Here is a 20,207-nt window from a genome sequence, read left to right as displayed (position 1 = left end):
GGATTACAGACGTGAGTCATTGGGCCTTGCCAAGGTTTTTGGGTTTTTTTTGGAAAAAAAAAAAAAAGTAGTACACATTCTTAGTGCAGATGGGCTTGGCCAGTACCACATGATGGTGAAGCAGACGTGAGACAACAGGGAGAGGCAGGGACAGTGTGGGCTGGAGACCCTGGGCCCCCCTACTCTATCCTAGTCCATTATTATAGCCAGATCTTCCACTCGGTCAGATGATGATGGAAATCTGGATTTTGTGTGAAATCTCTCAGTTTATTGTTGACAAGTCAATTTGAATTTTAGAAACGTGATGTAGGTCAACTCTTGAGTTGGATGGTTCTCCGAGCTGCCAGTTTACAACTCCGATTCTAGCAAAAGAGACAGCCTCTGCCATTTTCAGTACAGCTACAGGAAGATCCTTCAGTGGACTAGCTTGTGACCTGCTTATCTCCTTTTTGTGCCTCTTGCTCTTCCCACTTCAGCCCAAACTAAGCACATGAGCTGTAGCCATCACAGAAGTAATTCTGACATCCAACCTAATGTACTGTGATTTCACCTAGCAAGCTTGAGTGAATTTGCCAGGTCTTGCAGAGTGGAGCCTACCCGATGTCTCGCCTGATGCCCCTTGCTAGGATTCCTTTCTTTCAGCTGGCCGAATCTTTACACACATCGTACATCAGCTAGTTTTAACTCCATGAAGCCTTAAAAAGAACTAGTGCTCACAGGTCTAAACCTTAAGCACGTGCCTGTTCCCTGTACTCTGGTAACTCCTGATACATTTTTATTTGTATATCCCCGTGTTCCTACTTTCATATGTGACTATGGGAATTAGCTAATTTGGAAGGAATTAGCAGTTATCTGCTCATAATTAGGGTACTACATCCATTTATCCCCACATTCCCCAGTAATTTCAGCTTGTCTGACTTTTTTTCTAATTGGATTAGTCTCATTTTGTTTATGAGTAGATACTTTATTGATTTTGGATTTTTCAGTTTGCATGGATCCTCAGGTTCTCTGTTATTCCTCTACCTTTAAACCACGCATCAGAGCTGTGGAACAGATTGAGGAAGGGCAAATGGGGTCAGGCCATTTCATGAGAAAGAGCCAGGAGATACAGAATGGAGGTGGGAGGAAGGAATGAATTAATATATACTTCTCTAGAATTTCATACCAGGAATATACAGAATGGGAAAGAATTGGGGAGCTGAGAGGAGTAAATCCTAAGAATAAATGTTGATTTAGTGACTCATAAACTTGTTTTGGCCAACTAGAATCTAACAACTACTGAACAGTTGTGTTAGCCACAGTCCTGAGCACTTTGTTTATTAGCTTATTTAAACTTTACAACAACCCCATAAAGTAGGCATTATTGTTATTCTGATACTCTTTTAAAATTGTAACCAACTTCTGTGCCTAAAATCTTAACTCTTATGCCAATAGCTTTCAAACTTTATTGACCACATCTTATAGTGAGAAATATATTTAACATTTTACATACATAGCGACCTAGAGTAGATACATAGATACATGTAAGTGACAGAAAACTTCATAAAATAGCATTTCCTGTGAATAATGCACTGTAATATTTTCTATTTAGTTTTATTAAAAAAGCTGTTTTGGGCCAACTAAATTGGTATCAGAACTCACTAATGTGTTGTGACTTACAGTTTGAAAAAACACAGCATTGAGCCATAGTGCTTACCATCTGTATTTTATATAGACACAAGATGACTTTCCTCATGTGTGCAAAGGCAAGATGGGGCATGAGACAAAGTACAAACCAAACCAAGACACATGCTCAGATTTACAGACCTTTTTGTTAAATGTTAACCAGTGTAAAAATACTGTAATTCCTTTGGGGATTTAAAGGAATCTGCCTGTACAAGAGTAGTTACAAATTAGGAAATGACCTCAAATACTAATGTTGCTTTGAAAAAGAGTCATGGAAACTCAGGGTTGGAGAGACTTAAACATTCCATCCAGTCACCCATGTGATGCCTTAATCATCTCTATTTTGCATTCAATCTGTGCTTGAGATACTACCAGTTGAGTGTGGCTTCCCTTTCAGAATAATCCATTCCATCTTTTTGCCTGGCGGGAGGGAGCAAGTTCTTTTCAAGATTGAGCTGAAATTTGCCTCCCAGTAACTTCATTCTCTTCATCTTCATCCCATCCCTTGTATCACCCTTGGAGATGTTTGAAGAAAATTCTGGAGTTCTAGCTTTGCAGAATGGAGTCCAGTAGGGTGCTCAGCAGCCGTCACAGATGCTTCAGCCTCTTGGTAACCCATGTTATGCTCATTTCCCTGGAACAGGACCTAATGCACTGCACAGCATTTGCAACGGCAGATGAGTATCATCTGGGAAATCTGTCTCAAGATCTGGCCTCCCACGGATATGTTGAAGTAACAAGCTTGCCTAGAGGTACTTCTTCTTGAACCTGGGGCCAAGTATGTTAAAATGTATTGGATAATTTTCCTATGATACTATCTTAAGTATGTATTTGTTTGCAATTCATTTTCTTTTGAAAGGATTGTATCATAAAAGTGGATGTTGAATCTCTTTATAAAGATGACAAAGTTAAGAATTAAAATGTATTTACAGAGAACTCATTAAAATCAGTATGATTTATTAAGATTATTTATAGGATCATTATTACTTGAGGTGGTCAGAGGTCATACTACTTCATTTCTAGCACATTAAGAAGTTATTTTAGTTTGTGTGTGTCTGTGTGTGTTTTGTGTTTTTTTTTTTTTTGTTTTTTGGGATGGAGTTTCACTCTTGTTGCCCAGGCTGGAGTGCAATGGCGCGATCTCAGCTCACTACAACTTCCGCCTCCCAGGTTCAAGCGATTTTCCTGCCTCAGCCTCCGGAGTAGCTAGGATTACAGGCATGCGCCACCACACCTGGCTAATTTTTGTATTTTTAGTAGAGATGGTGTTTCTCCATGTTGGTCAGGCTGGCCTCGAACTCCCAACCTCATCTAATCCTCCCGCCTCGGCCTCCCAAAGTGCTGGGATTACAGGTTTGAGCCACCACACCCAGCCCGTTATTTTAGTCTTATAGAAGAACCATGAAGTTGATAGACATGGGGAGAGCCTTTAAAAAAAAAATTTACCAGCTCAATCTAATACTTTAAAACAATTAGTTAGCCGGGTGCAGTAGCTCACGCCTGTAATTGCAGCACTTTGGGAGGCCGAGGCGGGCAGATCACCTGAGGTTGGGAGTTTGAGACCAACCTGACCAACATAGAGAAACCCCTGTCTCTACTAAAAATACAAATAATAATAATAATAAAACGATTAGTTAGAAGATAAAAATGAAAAAGAAGAAAATTAAAATGAACTTAATTGAGGATTTTTATGGTGAAATCAGGAAGGATTCTTGAGAAATGGCTTGCTTTACATTAATTAAAAATAATTTAGGCCAGCCATGGTGGCTCAGGCCTGTAATCCCAGCACTTTGGGAGGCTGAGGTGGGTGGATCATTTGAGGTCAGGAGTTCGAGACCAGCCTGGCCAACATGGTGAAACCCCATCTCTACTAAAAATACAAAAATTAGCCAGGTATGGTGGCACGAGCCTGTAGTCCCAGCTACTTGGGAGACTGAGACACAAGAATTGCTTGAACCTGGAGGGTGGAGGTTGCAGTGAGCTGAGATCATGCCACTGCACTCCAACCTGGGCGACAGAGTGAGACTCTGTCTTAAAAAATAAATAAATAGGCCGGGCGTGATGCCTCATACCTGTAATCCTGCACTCTGGGAGACTGAGACAGGCAGATCACCTGAGGTCAGGAGTTTCAGACCAGCCTGTCCAACATGGTGAAACCCCACCTTTACTAAAAATACAAAAATTAGCTGGGCGTGGTGGTACGTGCCTGTAATCCCAGCTACTCAGGAGGCTGAGGCAGGACAATCACTTGAACCTGGGAGGTGGAGGTTGCAATGAGCCAAGATCGTGCCACTGCACTCCAGCCTGGGTGACAGAGCGAGACTCTGTCTCAAAAATAAATAAGTTACTTAGAACATTTTGATAAACTTTTACAGTGAAACTCAGGATAGCTCAATACCCAGAACATTTATTAATTTACCTAAGAGTAGCAAAAATAGGTTGAAAGCCTTCCTATAACAGTGGAAATTCTTAAGACTCAATCCCATAGAAGATAGTTGAAATATCATTGTGATAATCCAAACAGACCGTTTGTGTGATTAGGTGACAAAAACAAGCATAGTTGACTTAGAAAGACAGAGCTATGTCTAGAGCCCCTTGGTATGAAAATTTGCCTGGAGGTATTGTTGGCTGATGCTGAAGGCTGCCAGCTGTGTGGTCTGTGCTTCACAGAATTGCAGGCTTCACTGCCCTGGGTTGTTTCAGTCGATTTTATTTTGCTTTTGGCTGTGTAGGCAAACTCTGTCCTATGTAGGATGTAGTAATTAACAATTTAGAAAAAAAAAAAAAATCACAGTTTTGGTCTGTGTCTGAATTGCCCATCACCCAGCCTTTACCAGAAATTTCTGAAGCTTTGAGGATCCTAATTTTATGTTAATTCCGTTAAGACATACAACCTTTTGCAAATTAATAGTATATTTTTTAATTGATATATTAACATTGGTTGTAATTTATATTATGGAATATATGCTTATGATAAATATCACTATACTAATATATAAAGCAACTTCTTATGATGAATATTGGTATATTAGTATATGTTTTAACAATACTTAGGCCAGGCCCCGTGGCTCATGCTTGTAATGCACTTTGGGAGGCCAAGGCAGGCAGATGGCTTGAGCTGAGGAGTTCACGACCAGCCTGGGCAACATAGTGAGACCTCATCTCTACAAAACATAAACAAAAACTTAGCCAGGTGCGGTGGCACATGCCTGTAGTCTAAGCTACTTGGGAGGCTGAGGTGGGTGGGGCGGGGGGGGGTCCCTTGAGTTCAGGAGGTTGAGGCTGCATTGAGCTGAGATCATGGCACTGCGCTTCAGCCTGGGAGACAGAGCAAGACCCTGTCTCAAAAAAAACAAACAAACAAAAAAAAAACTTTTTTTTTAAATAGTTGCAGGTGGCTGCAGTGGTAGCCCCTGTAGTGATTAACCTTGAAATCACATATGTTTTGAAGTGGTCAGTATCTTTATTTCTGTGTATTTTCTATTGCCCTACTTTTTATACTTTAAAATTCAGCAGGAGTAGTAGTTTGGGAATGTTAAAATTGCATTATTAATGAAATGGTATTTATAGGAAGAGAATATATTAATACTTCTTCAAATTTTATTTTTAATTTTGTAGAAAGAAGTTTAATTCTTGACACTTAGTTGTATGGAACCTAAGACTTTATTAATTATCTGGACTAGTGATTATTGAATCAAAATGGGCATGAATGAGCTCTAATATTAATATCACAGGTTGTTGAATGTTTTATAAAAGTAATTGCTGATCTTTTTTTGGTGGTCGTATTTGCATTTTTATATATTAAATCCTTTCAGAGGCCTTAGTAGAAAGATGGTGATTGTGTTACAGAGCACTCCATGGTATATAAAGAAATGATCTTAAGTACTTTATTACAGTGTTTATAGGTGACTCTTACAACTTGTGTTACCTTGACATAGCTTTTTTGTTCGTTTATTTTAAATCACAGATGCAGCAAATATTTTGGTGATGGGTGTGGAAAATTCTGCAAAAGAAGGTGATCCTGGAACAATATTCTTCTTCAGGTAAGACAGGAAAGAAACCCCATTAGGTGATGATGGGTTTGGGTCAAGTAATTGTGGTCTTTAAAGGTGCAGGCATACCTTTCTTAACAGTAAATGTGTTCAAAATGTATTTGTGATTTAAATTTATCATTTAATTCTTATTTAATCTAGGAGAGTTTGTCACTTTTAGGAATTCTCTGGTAAACCCTCTTATAAAGTAAAGAATATTTCAAACAAGTGAATGATCTTCCCCGGGGTGTCTTTCTTTGTAAATTCGGATTTTCATGGACTAAATTTCTGGAAAGCAGCCAATTTCCCATTCATCTTTAGTGCCCCTTGTCAGACTCCTGCCCCAGGGAAACTCCCGCTACCTCCCTGCTGTCTCTTCTTGCCATTTTCTTTTTTTTCTCCCTTCCCCTTTGGTAGCTCTTTAAAGTTTTAGCTTACCTCTCCAGAGGTTTTAGACTAGGAGACTCACATACACACTTATTCCTTTTATCTAAAGGCCGACTCAATACTAAATACTCCACAGTAGCTGCCTGGGAATGATAACATGATAGAACCGTGTGAAATAATCTCATTTATCCTCAGCACACCGATGAAGGTCTATTTTGCACCTGAGGAAACTGAGGGTCATAGGGATTGAGTTACCCATAGTCATGAGACTAATACGTGACAGAACAGAAACACATGGACCATCTGTAGGAATCCAAAGTTGAGTAAAGTTCTTGTGGTCATAATCCTTATAGTTGATGATAAGTGGAAGTTCTTTTTTCCTTTCAATGCCTACCTTCCTTTTGACCCCATCTTTAGAGAGAATCAAGATTCCAACATTTAATTCAAGTAGAGTAATAGCATCCCTGTTGTTCCGAGTGAGGAATTTAGATTTGTGAGGGACTCTACATCAGCACTGTCTAGCAGAAATACAGTGCAAGCCTCGGCTGGGCACGGTGGCTTATGCCTGTAATCCCAGCACTTTGGGAGGCTGAGGCAGGCAGATCACAAGGTCAGGAGTTTGAGACCAGCCTGGCCAACATGGTGAAACCCTGTCTCTACTAAAAATACAAAAAATTAGCCAGGCACATGGTGGAGGGTGCCTGTAATCCCAGCTACTCAGGAGGCTGAGGCAGGAGATTCACTTGAATGCGGGAGGCGATGGTTGTGGTCAGCTGAGATCGTGCCATTGCACTCCAGCCTAGTGACAGAGTGAGACTCTGCCTCAAAGAAAAAAAAAAAAAGAAAGAAAGAAATATAATGCAAGCCTCATATGTAATGATACATTTTCCAGTAACCACATTTTAAATATTTTTAAAAAGATAAAATTAATTTTGAACAACACAAATATGTTTCTTAACATATTAACATGAAATTAATTTAACAATGTATTTTATTCAACCCAGCATATCTAAAATATTATCATTTCAACATGTAATTAATAATGATATTTTTTCACTTGTCATACTAAGTCTTTGAATTTTGCTGTGTATTGTACACTTACAGCGCATCTCAGTTTGCACCAGGCATGTTTCAAGCACTCAATAGCCACATGTGGCCTCTGAGTACCACATTGCACAGCACAGTGCATTCCTCTGGTTGGAGGAATATGCAGTTCACCAGACCTCTCTTCTGCCTGGAAGGGATTCTCTGAACTGATACTGTGGCTGTGGCTTGAAATACCTCTCAAATCCGTATCCTGAAACCTTATCCCTGCCTATTGTAACAGCTTATTGTCTCCCTGCCTGCCTGCTCACCCACCACCAGTCTGTTTGTCTATTGTAAGCAGGGTCATTCTTCAGTGGCCATTTCTGACCACTACACTCTCCTGCCTAAATTTCCACGGACTATGAACAAATTCTCTATCACTGCATAAAGTTCCCTTCTGGATTGTCCCCTGCTTGCCTCTTTATCCTGCTTGCCCACTGCTTGACCACATCTGCAGCCACGCAGCTACTGGCTGTTTATTCTGAGATGCTGCTCTGCTCCGTCCCACCTCCTCTCTGAGCCTGTGTGTCCCCTCTGCTATGTTGTCTCCTCTTGTTTTCTCATTTGGCTGCCTCTGCTAGTCCTTTAGCAAAGGGGTCCCTCTGGTGTACATCTCATGGTATACTCTGCATACTCTTGTAGCACTGATCACACACTATTGTAATTGGTGGTCTAAGTGTCAGTCCCAGTCTTTTCTAGATTGAGGATAGGAATGAAATCATACTTATGTTTCTATCACAAATACTAAGCATGGACCCACACATATACTAAGTACTTTAGAAATGTTTCAAGAATAACGTGGAGCCATTAATATTTTTACCTTTCTTTTATTTCCTCCTTTCCTTCCTCCAGTGCACTGACCCTGAGCTATAGCTCCTGTTTTTATTTACTACCTGAAACAGCTTCAACACGTCAAACTTGAGAAATCAAAACAAATGCATTCGTAGTTTTAGACCCTAAATAATGTTAAAGCCATAATCGGATTCAGAGGGCCTCCTGTGGTGTCACTGTAGTTCTGTTCCAAGCACTGTGAGCGTGGGGAGCATTATTCCATAGAGGCCTTTAACCATCTGATGCTTAAATTAACCACCATCTCTTTATTCCACAAAAATCCAGGCATAGCCCTTTATTCCTTGCACATAGTAGAGTCTGCCTAATGAGAGCTAAGACAAGGTCTCAAAAAATTTCCTTATTCTGATTTCTGTGGATCAGAATTGAACCAGGTATGAAAGAGTCTACATACGTGAAGTTATATAGTATTACAATAATGGCTATTTGTTTGGCAAACCATGTGAGAAATCATAAATTTTGAGGAGGTCAGGTTTTATCAAGAATTTTATTTTAGCTCTTATTGTAGGAAGTTCACCTAAGGACCATAATATCAAATTAGTAAGTACCATCATATTTTGAAAAATCGCATCCTGTATACATTCTAGAAGTTACATGGTTTTATATACGACCCTAAAGAATGTATTCCATCTGTATCTTAGTTGTTTCTTTTATTTTTTTAAATCAGGGAAGGAGCTGCTGTGTTTTGGAATGTGAAAGACAAAACTGTAAGTGTAAATAAAAATGTGAAAATATAAAAATTTAGTTTTGTGAGAATGAATTGTTAATTAGCACATACTGAAACATTAGAAGGGAAATTAATAGATTATGCACAACTTATTTGCTCTGCATTACATGATACTTATCAGTTTCATCTTCCAAAATATATTGTATTTTGGGTTAAGATTTCCTGCTTTTTCCTTTCTCTAGACACACACTAATTTGTGGAGAATCAGAACCATCCTAACTATACTGCAGACAGAAGTACTGTAGACTTTGCATGTTGTACTATACAAAATGTATGCAGTTAATTGGAAGCTGGTTGCATTGAGTGTTCTTTTAAGTCAAGTTGTCTAGAACTTACTACTCATGGGAAATAATTTTTTCAAGATCCAAATCAAGATTTGTTTAATACAACCATTTTAGAGGCAAATTGGTAATCTACATTAAAGCTTTATATTTAACCCAGTAATTTTACACCTAGAAATTTATCCAAAGGAAATAATCATAACTATTCGTGATGATTTTTGTACAAAAATGTTCATCAGAGCAATATTTATAATGGCAAAAATTAGAAATTACCAAAATACACAATAATAGTTTGTTAAATCATCCATATACTACAGATATACTATAGATCCCCTTAGAAATCATGTAAAAAAATATCTATTTCTGGGAGATTGCCTATATATATAATACAGTTACATTAAAAGAGCAGATTATACGGCCAGGCATGGTGGCTCACGCCTGTAATCCCAGCACTTTGGGAGACCAAGGCCGGCAGGTATCTTGAGGCCAGGAGTTCGAGACCAGCCTGGCCAACATGGTGAACCCCATGTCTACTAAAAATACAAAAATTAGCTGGGCGTGGTGGTGCACACCTGTAATCCCAGCTACTCGGGTAGCTGAGGCACAAGAATCGCTTAAACCTTGGAGGCAGAGGTTGCAGTGAGCCAAGGTCAGACCATTGCACTCCAGCCTGGGAGACAGAGGCATACTCTTGTCTTCAAAAAAAAAAAAAAGCGGGTTACAAAATATAACCAATATAATCTCAGAACTGGTTAAAAAACATGCTTTATACAATCCCAATTTTACGAAAAGGAAACACACACAGTAGGTGGTCGGGAAGGGAACTTAGAGAAAAGAAAATATAAATGACCAATAAATTTAAGAAAATACAAGTTGGCTATTTGAAGTTGCAAAGATGTAAAAGGCTGATAAACCCCATTTCTTAAGAGTAGTTTCATAAATGTTGAGATTCTACATTTGGAAAAACTACTTTGGAGAGCAGGCTAGCAATATTATAAGTGTGGGCCAGGTGTGGTAACTCATACCTGTAATCGTATCACTTTGGGAGTCTGGGGTGGGAGGATCACTTAAGCTCAGGAGTTCCAGACCAGCCTGAACAACACAGTGAGATCCCATCTCTACAAAAAGTTTTTAGAAGTTAGCCAGGTGTGGTAGTGTGTACCTGTAGTCCCAGCTACTTGGGAGGCTAAGGCAGGGGGATCGCTCGAACCCAGGAGTTTGAGGCTGCAATGAGCTATGATTGCATCACTGCACTCCAGCCTGGGTGACAAGGTGAGACCCTGTCTGTTACATATATACATATTGTGTAAGTCCACATATCTTTTGATCTAGCAATTCCTAAAGAAGTATTCCCACAAAGCCATGAAGACCTTTGCACAAGTGTGGCACATCGCAACATTGTAATGGAGAGTAGAAAAAATTCCCCATGGAGGACACACCTAGGTTGGTTAAATAAATTGCAGTTCGTCTGTAAAGGAAAATAGTGTTGAAAATGTCATGTGCATAATATGATCCTATTTTACATAAAAAGCAGCATAAATATGTACATATATACACATAAAAAGTCTGGAAGGATATGCACCAAGTTTAATCATGGTTGCCTCTGGGGATTAGGATTTCAGTACAGAAGAGAGAAAGAGATGATCACCTCCCACACCTGTGTGGCTTAATTTTTTATTAGTATGTTGGGCTTTACTTTTTATTTTTTATTTATTTATTTTTTTGAGATAGGGTCTTGCTCTGTCACACCGGCTGACATTGGCTCACTGCAACCGCCACCTCCCAGGCTCAAGCCAGCCTCTCAGGTAGCTGGGACTACAGGTGTACATCACCACACCCAGATAATTTTTGTATTTTTTTGTAGAGACAGGATTTTGCCACGTTGCCCAGGCTGGTCTTGAACTTTTGAGCTCAAGGATCCACCCGCCTCTGCCTCCCAAAATGCTGGGATTATTAAAGAGATTTAAAGAATACAAATTATAATATTACTAGTGATTTTCCTTGGGTTGTGGGATAATGATAACCTTGATTTTCTTCTCCATTCTCATCTGTGTTTTCCAAATGTAAAAACAAATGAACATGTCATCCTGATTACTTTAATATCACAATGGATTTGATTTGCCTTTTCCTTAAAAACATGCAACAGAAATAATGCCTGTAAGTGTAATGAAGACTGTTATAAGCATTAAAATCATAACATACTTGAACTGAGGGAGTCAGTTATGATTTCAGATTAATCTTCCTTTTCTTCTAGATGAAGCATGTGATGAAAGTTCTAGAAAAACATGAAATTCAGCCCTATGAAATCGCACTGGTACACTGGGAAAATGAAGAACTTAACTACATAAAAATAGAGTAAGCAACTTTTCATCAAATTTATGAAAGGGGCACTTGGAATAAATTAGGTAAAGCAATAGAGGAGACAAATTATTATGCATATGGAAACTTTTTTTTTTTTTTTGAGACGGAGTCTCACTCTGTCGCCCAGGATGGAGTGCAGTGGCACAATCTCGGCTCACTGCAACCTCTGCCTCCCGGGTTCAAGCAATTCTCCTGCCTCAGCCTCCTGAGTAAGTGGGACTACAGGTGTGCACCACCACGCCCAGCTAATTTTTTGTATTTTTAGTAGAGACAGGGTTTCACCATGTTGGCCAGGATGGTCTGGATCTCGACCTGGTGATCCGCCCACCTCAGCCTCTCAAAGTGCTGGGATTACAGGCGTGAGCCACTGGACCTGGCCTGGAAACTTACTTTTAAGAAAAAAGTGGCCAGGCGTGGTAGCTCACACCTGTAATCCCAGCACTTTGGGAGGCTGAGGCAGGTGGATTACCTGAGGTCAGGAGTTCAGGACCAGCCTGGCCAACATGGTGAAACCCCATCTCTACTAAAAAATACAAAAATTAGCTGGTTATGGTGGCGGGTGCTTGTAATCCCAGCTACTCGGGAGGCTGAGACAGGAGAATTGCTTGAACCTGGGAGGCGGAGGTTGCAGTGAGCCGAGATCACGCCATTGCACTCCAGCCAGGGTGACAAGAGTGAAACTCCGTCTCAAAAAAAAAGAGGAAAAAGATTACTGGTACAAATACAAAGTCTAAACCATATAATAAATATTAGAAGATAAACATAATTTTTTGAACTTCTCAGGCTATCCACAAGTTAAAACAAGTCAGTAGTATAGCCCCAAAATGGAAATGTTAAGTTTCTAATCAGCCTAATCCAATAAAATAGTATGCATTTATCAAATGAACCTATCAAATTATTCCAGTAAATTTTTCTCTTAATCCAGTTTTTTCCTATTGATTTTGGGGGGTGGGGGTATGAAAAGGAAGTATAGTGAGGGGTCAATCTAAGAGACCCACTTGTAGAAGTGTGGGTGCTGGAAGAAGTGGGACCTGGTGTACCAGTTTCACTAAGATAAATGGGTAGGCAACAGACTAGCTGATTTTCCTGACTCAGCCAGAGGGAAAAAATGAAGAGATGTTAGGGCCGAGACAGAGGCAGTATGAACAAGATGGTAGTGTCTTTTTCCTCATGGAGTTACCTGTCTAGTGAAATATGAGTCTTTGCAGGTTCTTAAGAAAGGTAGTGTTAGCCAGATTTGGTGGCTCACACCTGTAATCTCAGCACTTTGGGAGGCCAGGGTGGGAGGATCAACTGAGTCAGGAGTTCAAGACAGCTTGGCCAACATGGCGAAACCCCATCTCTACTAAAAATACAAAAATTACCCGGGCATAGTGGCGAGTGTCTGTGATCCCAGCTACTTGGGAGGCGGAGGCGGAGGCAGAGAATTGCTTGAACCTGGGAGGCAGAGGTTGCCATGACCTGAGATCGCACCACTGCACTCCAGCCTGTGCAACAGAGTGAGACTCTGTCTCAAAAAAAAAAAAAAAGCGTTAAAAGCAGAGCTTTGGGAAGACTTGGAAGAGAGACAGAGACTAGCTATAGAAAGACCAGATGGGGATAAGAGCTGAGTAATCAGCGCTCACCACCAATAGGGCCAGTCACGGTTTTCTAAGTAAGTGCCTTCCATGTATTATTTCATTTAATCCTGGGGAAAACCCTATAATTGCAGCTAACTGGCTTTCCGATGAGATTTATTGAATCCTGTCTTGCCAAAGGGCACCTGACTGTGAGTCAGCCTGAGCCCAGTGGTGGCTGCAGTCAGAGGTAAGGATATAAACCTGAGAGAGACAGCAAATGAGCAGCCTGTAGTTTTATTATCTTTAGTAGTTACTCAGCCCTTGGCCTGCAGATACAGCTCCTGTGAATCCCCTTTCTGTGTTCTATTAGGTTTACATTAAAATGGCAAAAACCGCGATTACTTTTGCACCAACCAAATACTTCCATATCCAACTACTGCTAGACCCTTGTGTGTGTGTGTGTGTACGCTTATCCACACACACACACACACGTTACTGTACAGTCTGTGAGGAGTAAAATCCTCAGTGCTTAGGATCCCAGAGTCAGTTATTTTGTTTCGTCAGAAAGACTGTCCTGGCTGCCACCTACATGGTTATTATGTGAGTTCTGCCATGATTCCAGGGATCTGCTCAGCTCTGTGGCATGGGCCCAGTTTACTCATAAAGCATCTTGTGACCAAGCACAGTGGCTCATGCCTGTAATCCCAACACTTTGAGAGGCCAAGGCGGGCAGATCACTTGAGGTCAGGAGTTCAAGACCAGCCTGGCCAACATGGTGAAGCCCTGTCTGTACTACAAATATAAAAATTAGCTGGATGTGGTGGTGCACTCCTGTAATCCCAGCTACTCAGGAGGCTGAGGCAGGAGAATCGCTGGAACCCAGGAGGCGGAGGTTGCAGTGAGCGAAGATCACGCCACTACACTCCAGTCTGGGTGACAGAGCAAGACTCCGTCTCAAAAAAAAAGACCTCTTGTGACTGCTGTCTTTGCTTTCCTTCCTCCATCTGAGGCTGTCATAGCAGATGCCGCCCTCCATCAGGCCCCTTGTCCCCCTCCCTTTGGCCGTCACTTCTTGTCTGACATCTTTTGTGAAGGTTTACCCTGTCTTTTTTCCATTTGCTTGTGATGTTTATATTCACACATTCCGCTCTTCCCCTGTCCCCTGTCTAGGATTCTCCACAGTCACATACTCATTTTTCACAACTTCCTTGCCTCCCTCCCCAACCCCATCATGTCAGTGTGATTTTAGATTACACTCCATATATAGTTTTATATGCAGCATTTTTTCACATAGAAATTTACTGTGAACGTTCTCCTTTTTATTAACTATCCTTCCAAAACACACTTTTAAGTTTTTCTTGTGTGGAGTGACTATTACTGAGCCAACCCCTACTGAACATTTGGTTTATTTCCTAATTTTTTACTCTTAAACACTGACCTTTTTTTTTTTTTTGGAGACAGAGTCTTGCTCAGTCTCCCAGGCTGGAGTGCAGTGGCGTGATTTCGGCTTACTGCAAGCTCCGCCTCCCGGGTTCACTCCATTCTCCTGCCTCAGCCTCCCGAGTAGCTGGGACTACAGGCGCCCGCCACCACACCCGGCTAATTTTATTTTGTGTTTTGAGTAGAGACGGGGTTTCACCATGTTAGCCAGGATGGTCTCAATCTCCTGACCTCGTGATCCACCTGCCTCGGCCTCCCGGAGTGCTGGGGTTACAGGCGTGAGCCACCGTGCCCAGCCAACACTGACCATTTTTTTAAAAGTTTTCAGCTGGGCAAGGTGGCTCGCACCTGTAGTCGCACCACTTTGGGAGGCCGAGGTGGGTGGATCATTTGAGGTCAGGAATTCAAGACCAGCCTGGCCAACATGGTGAAACTCTATCTCTATTAAAAATACAAAAAAAATTAGCTGGGTGTGGTTACGCATGCCTGTAATCCCAGCTACTAGGGAGGCTGAGGCAGGAGAATCGCTTGAACCTAGGAGACTGAGGTTGCAGTGAGCTGAGATCGCACCACTGCACTCTAGCCTGGGCGGCAGAGTGAGACTGTCTCAAAAAAAAAAAAAAAAGTTTTCTTGTATACAAATTTTTCTTTGCATCTTAGATTATTTCCTTAGGATAAACTCCTAGAAAGGGAATTACCTGGACCAAAGGATATGAGAACATTTGTAACACTCTTGATACAAATTGTCAAAATGACCTCCAGAAAGATGATATGGTGTCTTTTTCAAAGGAAAAGTTAAAGTGCTTTTTAAGATTTAGAAGGTATTATCTTTTTGCTTTTCACAGGGGACAGTCAAAACTTCACAGGGGGGAAATCAAGTTAAATTCAGAGCTGGATTTAGATGATGCCATTCTAGAGAAGTTTGCTTTCTCCAATGCTCTATGCCTTTCTGGTAAGTTACTACTGCTTATGGGATAGGGTACTACAGTTGTCATTTCACTGAGGGAAGTTTAAATAGTCACGATTTTGGTATATTTTCAGAATACTCAACAAAGCCTTAGCATTCCTTTTCCTTTTTTTCCCTCCATCAGAAAAAATATCTAGTATAAAAGATAGTACTGTGCTGAAGTTACTCATTCCTTATTAATTGTATTAATAAAGCTTAACCTCTCCAAAAGTATTTTTTAGATGATGATTATATTAGCCTTTGTTTTTTTCTCTTCTCTCTATGCGATTGTTATTCTTAGATAGTCTCTAATCCAGACAGAGAAGCCCAGCCTTGTGTGACTGGGCACAGGTCCCAGTGTAGAAAAACATACTCTAGTGTTCCATAGGAATGGGACCCAGAGTCACAGTGGCTATAAGTTTGTTCTGAAAGATCCACATCCCGAATAAAACTATACAAGTTCTTTAAGAATTTCTTTTGCCAGCAGTCTACCTTAGGTGGCTGCTGCAGCGTCCTGTCCATCCCACTCTGAGGGGCTTCGGAGATTTCTGAGGTTTACTCTTAGTCCTGAGGAGTGAAGGGGAGGCCAGGAAAGTCTTAGTCGCGCCCTATCTGCAGAGCTACCCATGGTATCAAGGTGTACCCTACCCTCCTCAGTTTCCAAGATGTAATACTAGAAAATCAAGAGTTCTACTAAATGTAGCTTTGGTCTTCCAATAGGGCATGGAAAGCGATTCAGTTTCCTCTATCCACTTTAATTCTGTCCTTTATGATAATTAACTATTCTTAAATTATATTTTCAAGGTTTTAGTACTTTTTCTTAAACTATTACTGAAATAGTAGTGAAGATGCTGTGCAATTATGTATTTTATATACATGTGAATATGATGATAAAGAAATGTTCCATTATTAATTTTTTTCCCAGTAAAACTGGCAATTTGGGAAGCATCACTGGATAAATTTATTGAATCTATTCAGTCAATTCCTGAGGTAATTATATCAATTTTATGCTTATTCAAGGATTGATTTTTATATGTAAAAAATATGAATTTCCCAATATAACAATATATAGCTATCCATCAGTATCCATGGGAGATTTGTTCCAAGACCCCACTGGATACCAGAATCTACCAGTGTCCAAATCCCTGATATAAAATGGTATATATTTGCATATAACCTATGCATATCCTCATGTATACTTTCAACCATCTCTAGATTACCTAAAATACCTAATATAATGTAAATACTATGTAAATAGTTGTTATACTGTATTATTTAGGAAATAATAACAAGAAAAAACAGTTTGTACATGTTCGGTACAGATGCAACCATTCTTTTTTCTCAAAATACTGTCAATTTGCAGTTGGTTGAATCTGCAGTTGCAGAACTTATAGAGGGCCGATTGTTTAGGAGTACAACAACATTATTACAAACAATAAGAAAACTACAGTAAACTTAAGAACTCCCAGTTACATATAAAATGACAAATTAAGAAACTTCATATTGATTACTTTTTACTTTTTAAAACTTCAAATTGTTTCCTCTGTTGGTGCAGTATTTTTTTTTTAATATTAATATAATTGAAATGGGGTCTGGCCATGTTGCCCAGGCTGGTCTTGAACTCCTGGGCTCAAGCGATCCTCCTGCCTCGGCCTCCCAAAGTTCTAGCATTACAGGCCACGAGCCACCATGCCCGTCAGTTGCAGTATTTTTAATGTAACTGAATTAAAGAAAAAAGTGAAATGTTTCTCTCTGAGAATGGAAATTATGACCACTTTTCCTGATTTAAGAAAGTGTTTTGCTAAATTATGAGAAAAATAGTGGTATGAAAAATACATATAAAGTTATATTGAAATTTCAGTATACATTAAAAATCATCATATTGTAATTAACTGTGTCTTTATTGTGAAAGAGTAATCTAATTATACTTCGGAAAGGAGGCCCTGCTTTTCTACTAAGAGATTAGGAATGTATATATCATTGAAAATGCTGATGAGAAGGGAAATGAAAAAAGAGAATATACAATTTCTACCTAATAAAATTATGAAATTTCAAGGTGAGTTAAGACATTAATCTGGGAGACAGCCATCCTAAAAAATATTTACATAGGATCCAAATTATGCCACTTCAGATTTTGCCCTGTTGACCTAATGCTTATTAGAAAGAGAGATACATGGTTTTTTGGTTTTTCCGATTCCCTCTCAACTAGGCTTTAAAAGCTGGGAAGAAAGTGAAACTATCTCATGAAGAAGTTATGCAGAAAATCGGTGAACTCTTTGCTCTAAGGTAAAAGTTTTCTCTCTAAATAAAATATTTCATATATTTAACAATCTCAAGAAAACATTCCCATAGTTCTGTGGTGAAGAGCAAACATTTACACGTTTATGGGAACTGTAGCTGTTTTCATTTCATTGATTATAAGCAGGGAGAACTCTTACCCATTAGAAGTAGTTGGGCTGTGTTAAGACTGTACTGAAAGAAATCACGCATGTGCAAAAGAGATCACGATTCATCTACATTAAACCCACATTAAGGAGCACAGTAGGTGTTCTTTGAAGGTAGAAAGACATATTCCTGAATTTGGTTAATGGGAATTCTCTGTAAAAATATATCACTGCATCATAATGCTAAATAGGCTTAATTGCTACAGAAAAGTTTCTTTGAATCTGAGACACCAAGATGCCACTGGAGAGAAAAACTGCTGCCAGTTAAACTATGACAATACTTTTTTTATCAGAGGATTAAAATTTTACACTTACTGAAATATCTTTTAATCTTAGCTGGATATAAATTATATCACATTCCCTCTTGGGCATATATGAAAAGGAAAGCATAAGAAAATAAATTATTTAAGGCAAAGACAAGTAAGTCTCAAGTGCCACCTGTCAGACACCATTAATTTTAAGATGCCTCGAGATGTTAAAATGGGAATAACTATGTCTAAAAACTGATGAATCATTTTAAATAAGTATCTGGAAAGGTTTTCAGCTTTTATTATTCTTGTAGTTGTCCCAGGATTTACGGAATGAAACATCCCGGATGTTGGTGTTTTTCTCACAGGCAGCATTGTCCAGTTTATCCCTTCTAGCATGTGGAATGAGTTACCAGAGCTCACTGCAAATGTTCACCTAAGACTTGTTTTTCCATATTCTCCTTAGATGCTCTGCCTGGAGAGAAGTGATACAGTGTTTCATTGTCTGTGTATCTCTCATAGCTCAGGACCTATAGTTCAGGGTACCAACAAAACTTAAAAACCCATCCATCAGGAGCATCCTGCAGCATATCTGAAGCCTCAAATTCTCTGAGAAGTAGGGTAGAGAGATTCTTCTCTCCTGTTCTCTTGGTCATGCAAGCAGAAATTGATGTAGTGAATTATAATATCCAAACTGAATAGTTAGGACTAAATATACGTAGGTTTGTGAATAGTTTCTATAAAGGCTTACTTTTACTATCCTGTTTCCTTACCTGTACAATAAAAATGCTTATTTGTTAATATAAGGAATGTGATACATCTGTGAAAATAAACATGGCAGATAATATTAGATTAAAAAACTAAATCTAAATTTATATAGGGTATGATCCCATTTGTGTAAGCAAATAAAAATATTCATGTTTATCTTTATATGCATACACATGTACATGTGTTTGCTTGCACACACATGCATGTATGAATACAGAAAGATCTGGAAGTACACAGCAAAGTGTCTCTACAGGCCTGTCCTTGGGGAGAATAAAGGATTTAAGTAGTGTGGTAGCATAAGAGAGCCTACCATTTTTCTGAATCCTTCTCTAGGATATTTTCCTTTTTTTTTTAATCGTGAACAGGTATGTATGTGTTACTTTTTTTTTTTTTTTTTTTAAACAGGGTCTTGCTTGTCACCCAGACTAGAGTGCAGTGGCATGATCATAGCTCACCAAAGCCTTGATCTCCTGGGCTCAGGGATTCCTCCTGCCTCACCCTCCTGGGTAGCTGGGACCACAGGAGTGCTCCACCACACCCAGCTAATTTTAAAAATAATTTGTAGAGACAGGGTCTCAAACCCTTGCTCAAGCAATCCTCCTCCCTAGGCCTCCCAAAGTGCTGGGATTACAGGTGTGAGCCACCACATCAGTTTATGTGTACTTTCATAACTTAGATTTTTATTTAGTTAAACATCTAAGTGTAAGGCCAGGCACGGTGGCTCACACCTGTAATGCCAGCACTTTGGGAGGCTGAGACAGGTGGATTGCTTGAGGCTGGGAGCTCGAGACCAGCCTGGCTAACATGATGAAACCCCATCTCTACCAAAAATACAAAAATTAGCCAGGAATGGTGGTGTGCGCCTGTAATCCCAGCTTCTTGGGAGGCTGAGGCATGAGAATTGGTTGAACCCAGGAGGCGAAGGTTGCAGTGGAGCCAGGATCATGCCACTGCACTCCAGCCTGGGCGACAGAGCAAGATTCTGTCTCAAAAAAGAAAAAGGCTGGGCACGGTGGCTCACATCTGTAATCCCAACACTTTGGGAGGCCGAGGCCAGTGGATCATCTGAGGTCAGGAGTTCAAGACCAGCCTGACCAACATGGAGAAACCCCATCTTTACTAAAAATACAAAATTAGCCGGGCGTGGTGGCACATGCCTGTAATCCTAGCTACTCGGGAGGCTGAGGCAGGAGAATTGCTTGAACCCAAGAGGTGGAGGTTGTGGTGAGCCAAGATCGCGCCAATACACTCCAGCCTGGGCAACAAGAACAAAACTCTGTCTCAGAAAAAAAAGTAAGCACAGACTTCTTATATTAAAATGTAGAAATTAAGAGAGAGAGTGTGTATGTTTATGCTTGCTTGTCTAGTGTTTGCATAAACACTGGAAGGATACAGCGGAAACTAGAAGGGATTAC

At 40.0% G+C, this 20,207-nt stretch overlaps 1 protein-coding gene across 5 annotated transcripts in view; it reads left to right on the top strand.

Moving 5' to 3' along the window:
* The window catches only part of RMND1 (required for meiotic nuclear division 1 homolog), a 47,365-nt gene that overhangs the window by 13,264 nt on the left and 13,894 nt on the right, over window positions 1-20,207 (top strand). For all 5 annotated transcript variants that reach the window (NM_001271937.2, XM_047418959.1, NM_017909.4 and 2 more), the window contains 7 exons: window positions 2,309-2,417; window positions 5,633-5,708; window positions 8,686-8,725; window positions 11,281-11,381; window positions 15,232-15,338; window positions 16,258-16,322; window positions 17,542-17,618. In NM_001271937.2, the coding sequence (NP_001258866.1) occupies window positions 2,315-2,417; window positions 5,633-5,708; window positions 8,686-8,725; window positions 11,281-11,381; window positions 15,232-15,338; window positions 16,258-16,322; window positions 17,542-17,618 (569 nt within the window). In that variant the 5' untranslated portion in view covers window positions 2,309-2,314. The remainder of the gene's footprint in view (window positions 1-2,308; window positions 2,418-5,632; window positions 5,709-8,685; window positions 8,726-11,280; window positions 11,382-15,231; window positions 15,339-16,257; window positions 16,323-17,541; window positions 17,619-20,207) is intronic.

This window comes from Homo sapiens, chromosome 6 (assembly GCF_000001405.40).
Source record: "Homo sapiens chromosome 6, GRCh38.p14 Primary Assembly".
NCBI lineage: Eukaryota > Metazoa > Chordata > Mammalia > Primates > Hominidae > Homo > Homo sapiens.
Note: the sequence above shows the minus strand (reverse complement) of the source record. Positions and strands in the feature narration are given on the sequence as shown.